General features: G+C 33.6%; 1 protein-coding gene across 8 annotated transcripts in view; it reads right to left on the bottom strand.

Annotated features, from left to right (window-relative positions):
- Positions 1-572: 572 nt before the first annotated feature.
- Positions 573-6,000, bottom strand: part of RUNDC3B (RUN domain containing 3B) — a 203,899-nt gene continuing 198,471 nt past the window's right edge. For all 8 annotated transcript variants that reach the window (NM_001394228.1, NM_138290.3, NM_001394224.1 and 5 more), the window contains one exon: positions 573-2,984. In NM_001394228.1, the coding sequence (NP_001381157.1) occupies positions 2,839-2,984 (146 nt within the window). In that variant the 3' untranslated portion in view covers positions 573-2,838. The remainder of the gene's footprint in view (positions 2,985-6,000) is intronic.

Below are 6,000 nucleotides of genomic sequence, written 5' to 3'. Positions count from 1 at the left end.
AGTTTAGCAAAATCTGCACATTTCATCTAATGATAGGAACTTTAACAAAGCAGTTTTCTAAGTTGTAAATTTGGGACACATTGATAACCACTTAAAACTGTATGTAAATCTAATGATTTAACAACTAACTTATGATCTACTTTTTCTGCCACTCATAATTAGTAGTAGCTTGCATTTGGCATTTATCTCTTTAGAACTTCTTTTATATATGATTTTATTTAATGCTTACATCATCCTGATGCCATCTCTTAGGTGCCAAGAAGATAGTGATGATTCTTACAGGTGAGAAAACAAACATGACTATTTTATAATTAAATCAGTAACACTGCCAGAACCACTACTAAACTGTACTGATTGATTGAATAGATGTTGTGTATTCTAAAGCATATCATGTTACTTTTAAAAAATAGGATATTTAACTTGATGTGAGTTGAAATAAGGATTTCTCCCATTCCATTTTCATGTTAGTATTTTAGGTGTGAAATAATATATATTTACCACATTTGCTGAAACAAAAGTTAAGTGTACTTAAATCAGGTAACTTTTTGTCAAGCAAAATAAGACCACCAATGCATAGTACAAAATTTTTAATATACATGCAACAAGTATAGTACGCATCAAGGCAACAGAATACACATGGAAATATTGGCGTATAATTCAGCATTCTTTTGGAGGCAAGAGGGAGGGTGAACAATAAACACTACCACCTAAAATTAAAGATTGAGACATACATGGTTTCCTCATGCAAACAGTAACAAACTACCTTTAGTGTGAAACGAACTCTGTAGAAACCTGATTTTATAACAGCAGATGAATTTTATACCAAGATCTCCAAGAAAGGAGGAAAAGTCATGATCCTCAGATGTAATGTTTAAATCTGCATTTAGCAGCATGTGAAGATGCACAAATTACACATTAGACAAATCTGAAAAATTTTACGATTATGGAATCTTGAATTTCCTTCTACATTATAAAAATGTATGTAAAACCATTGTTTAATTACTAAAGGATAATAAATGTTGGTTGAGAGTGGACCATGAATGATAAAGCATTTAAACATTCTGATAGTTCATAGGAAAGCAGCAATAGTGCTCAAGTCCAGCCTAAAATTTTCAAATTTCTCTTTATCCATTTCCTCACTCCCTTCTCCCAAAGTTTCCATTGTCCTCATATTATACCTACCTTCCATCCCCCATGCTGATGAAAACCTGCTTTGGATACTTCACTCATAATCAGGTATGTAGAATTGAGAAATTGAGAACAAAAAATGTATCATTTCTCAAGAATATTTGCATTTCTACAAGTATTGAAGCCTTAAGCTTAAAGGAATAAAGCTCTGAATATGTTCTGGCACATCTAAGATAACTTATTTTAAGGGCTTCCAGGCCTTTGTCCCTGAAGTGACACTGTTTGACTGTCTTACATAAAAGACTTGCCTTGTTACTACTTATTATCTTAAATTCCAAATTATGAGACTAAGCTCTAAATATTGCAGAAAACCACCACACTCCTACATTTCTAACACAAAGAATGAATGTGGTAACCTCAGCTCTTTTCTCAATAATAATAAACAAAAAAACCATATGAAGTCCTCAGTAAGTACTGTGGCCTCATCATGTAAACAATGTATAAAATTTCTTTGGCACAGCTAATCATGTTTTCCTCATATTACTTACTATAGAAAATACACGCCATACATTTTCAGTATGGTGGGATTTTTAGGGATTAATGTAGCTGTTTCAAAAATTGCAAAAAAAAAAAAGTACAGATTACAACTTTAAAAAAAAAAAAACTAATTTTACCTGTGTATAAGTGTGGGGATGTTTTAACATTAAAATGTTTTAAAATGAGACTCTGGTGTGATTAATGATAGAGGCTATAAAACACACATGACACACTTCATTGTTGCACAAACAGGAAAAAGAACCAGCACTGAATATCAGACATATATTAAGTAAATATGATAACTATCCTACTGATCCTTGTTTAAAAGCCTCTCAAATCCTTAACTGAACTTGAACTCTTTCCTGGCAAAACAATTTTTCAACGTTTGTTCTACATTTTGAAATGTTTCTAGTTTTTGAGGCATACTTGATCATACTTTTAAATTGATAATCTTTTAAGAAAATCTTGGAAAACAGTTTATTCATTTTGCCTAAATGGCATAAAATACTGTAAAATATTTTCCTTGTGGCACTAACAAATTAAGTCAGTAACTACCAAAACAGGCATGTTCCTATGGAATTTATAAAATGTTAAGTGGAATGCTGAATTGATACCAAATGGTAAATATTAAAGAAAAACTGAATAAGCCACTGTGAAAATGCAGCTGAGAACTTTCCCGTTATTAAAAACAAGGCATTTAAAGCATAGAACTTAGGAAGACATTAATGAAAAAATGAAATTAACTTTTTTTTTTTTTTTTTTTGAAAATCTGAAAGAATGAAAAAATACTTAGCTTAAGTCTCTGGAGTCTCTGGAATAAAACCTTGAAGTCAGTCTCTGGCCACTAAGGTGTATTTAAATATATAAAAATCAGCTGAACAATATGTACAATTTGCTATGAATGATTTGGCGGATCTTTGAAAGTTTTTTTTTTTTTAAAGCCTATTCCATTTTGAACTTTCTCAATGACAAATGTAAGAATTTTAAAAATGAAAAATGGCAGGATCATTATGTTTTTCACTCAAAATCTCTTATCTGGAGGGGATTCTCTCCAAGCAATAGAATTTCAGACATGTACCAGAACAATATAAAATTTCAAAGGTCTTCCCAGCAGTCAAACATGTAAATTAAACATTTACAACATAAAAAGTTTTGGCTTTTACACAAAAATTTTCAGGATGGAGTTAGGCCTGGACTTGTCATCTCTGTTGTAGGACTTGCAAGGTAGTCATTAGATTTTAAGCTTGTTAGAGACTTGTAACTTGCCACTGACGTTAGAGATCCACAGAGGCCAAGTAATGAGGGAGTATCTTCCTTACCTGAAAATTAGAATTAAATAGCAAATAATTAATTGCCCTTCAAGAATGATACAAATAAGATCCTAAAACCATTAGAAATTGGAAGAATCAATACTGTGAAAATGACCATACTGCCCAAAGAAACCTACAGAACAAATTGCATGATTGACTGCTATCCCCATTAAAGTACCAACATCATTTTTCACAGAATTAGAAAAAAAATCCTACAGTTCATATGGAACCAAAAAGCACAAATACCAAAGCAATCTTAATAAAAAAGAACAAAGCTAGAAGCATCACATCAACTAACTTCAAGCTGTAACCAAAATAGAAAGGTGCTGTTATACAGACACAAAGACCAATGGAACAGAATAGAGAACCCAGAAATAAAGCTGCACATGTATAGCCATCTGATGTTTGACAAAGTTGACAAAAGTAAGCAATGGGAAAAAGACTCTCTATTCAATAAATGGTGCTGGGATAGCTGTCTAGCCATATGCAGAAAAATAAAACATAAGGAAAAGAATTTATGACGTAAGTCCTTAAAAGCAATTGCAACAAAACCAAAAATTGACAAGAGGGACCTAATTAAACTAAAGAGCTTCTGCACAGCAAAAGAAACTATCAACAGGGTAAACAGACAACCTCCAGAATGGGAGAAAATATTTGTAAACTCTGCATCCAACAAATGTCTGATATCCAGAATCTATAAGGAACTTAAACATTAAACAAGCAAAAAATAACCCCATTAAGAGGTGAGCAAAAGACACGAAGACACTTCTCAAAAGAAGACACAGAAGTGGTCAACAATCATGAATATATGCTCATCATCAGTAATCATCAGAGAAACGCAAATCAAAACCACAATGAGATACCATCTCACACCAGTCACAATGGCTATTATTTTAAAAGTCAAAAAAGAACAGATGTTGGCAAAGTGACTGAGAATAGGGAATGCATTTTGGTTTACAATCTGATATTTTAAACCAAATGACATGATATAAGGGTTGCTACGCTGCTTTCTTTGTGTTTCTATTTGCCTGTTACACATTTGTTAATCCCTTTTTATTTACTGGCAAATTAGTTCAGCCATTGTGGAAAGCAATTTGAAGATTTCTCAAAGAACTTAAAACAGAATTACCATTCGACCCAGCAATCCCATTACTGGGTATATATCCAGAAGAAAATAAATCATTCTGCCAAAAAGACATATGCACTCATATGTTCATCATAGCACTATTCACAATGGCAAAGACATGGAATCAACCTAGGAGCCCATCAGCAGTGGACTGGATAAAGAAAATGTGGTACATCTACACCATGGACTACTATGCAGCCATAAAAAAGGAATGACATCATGTCCTTTGCAGCAACATGGATGAAACTAGAGGCCATTATCTTAAGTGAATTAACATAGGAATAGAAAACCAAATACCACATATAATCTCTTATAAGTGAGAGCTAAACACTGAATACTCATGGATATAAAGATGGCAGTGGTAGACAGTGGGGTCAACTAGAAGGGGAGGTGTGGTGGGGGGCAAGGGTGGAAAAACTACCTGTTGGGTACTATGCTAACTACTTGGGTGATGGGATCAATTGTACCCTAAACCTCAGCATCACACAATATACCCATGTAACAAACCTGCAAATACACCCCTTTGAATCTAAAATAAAAGTTGATATTTAAAAAAGACAGTATAATAATTACTGAACATAATAATTTTAAAAAAGAAAATTTAATTTCAGCTTATATTTCCCTGTTACCCACAAGTTGTTTGATGGGTTTATACCCAGGTGGAGGGGCCCTTTTGAACAACAAAAAAAAGTTATCAATAATTTCTAGGGTTCTTTTGCACTGTGATTAGAGAATACTGTTTGTAATATTTTACTTTATACATTTATTGCTTTCTTTTTTCTCTTGAGATAGGGTCTGTGTTGCCCAGAATGGTCAGGAACTCCTGGGCTCAAACAATCCACCCAGGTATCTGGGGGATTACAGGCATGCACCACTGCACCCAGCTTATGTTTTCTTTATGAGCTAACTTCTGAACATTTTTGAGACTGTTCTATCTGTACTTAAGAAGAAGTTATATTATCTATTTTCAGGTTATAAAGTTCCATAGAGCATAAGATATACCCTAGTAATTATGTTGTTTAGGTGTATTATATTCTTTTTTGTCTATTTGATTTGTCTTATACTGAGAATAGTATGTCTTCAACTGTCACTGGATTTCTGTTTCCTTATATAAAGGGGGATATCATTATTTGTTGTATAATCCTGTTATATCTTAATTTTTTTTAGCATTAAAACATATCTTTCCTTGTAATGCTTAATGCATTTTGGTTTAAAATCTACCCATCTGATATAAGGGTTGCTACCCTGCTTTGTGTTTTTTGGTTTTGTTTGTTTGTTTTTGAGACAGAGTCTCACTCTAGCACCCAGGCTTGAGTGCAGTGGCGCAGTCTCAGCTCACTGCAATCTCGGCCTCCCAGGTTCAAGCAATTCACCTGCCTCAGCCTCCCCAGTAGTTGGGATTACAGGGGCCCACCACCGCACCTGGCTAATTTTGTATTTTTAATAGAGACAGTGTTTCACCATGTTGGTCAGGCTGGTCTCGAACTCCTGACCTCAAGTGATCTGCCCGCCTCAGCCTCCCAAAGTGCTGGGATTACAGGCATGAGCCACCATGCCTGGCCCCTTGTTTGTATTTTTATTTGCCTGTTACATATTTGTCTATTCCTTTATATTTAGCCATTCAGAATAAATCATAATTTTGTTGTAATTTTATGTATATAGTTATATTTACTGTTTCTCTCCTTGGTATATGTTGTTTGCCATTTCATTAATTTCTTTTGATAGGCTCTCTGCTGTGACAAATTATTTTGCTTTGTTAAATTTGCTATGCTTCTCTTTCTAGATGACATATTTGCTTTAAAAAAATTATTTAGGAAGGTTTGTATTTTAGTTCTAGTTGTTACCTTTATACAACTAGACAAATCTAATGCCAACTTCATTCTTTTCTCCCTTTCTAGT

Source organism: Homo sapiens, chromosome 7 (genome assembly GCF_000001405.40).
Source record: "Homo sapiens chromosome 7, GRCh38.p14 Primary Assembly".
Lineage (NCBI taxonomy): Eukaryota > Metazoa > Chordata > Mammalia > Primates > Hominidae > Homo > Homo sapiens.
Note: the sequence above shows the minus strand (reverse complement) of the source record. Positions and strands in the feature narration are given on the sequence as shown.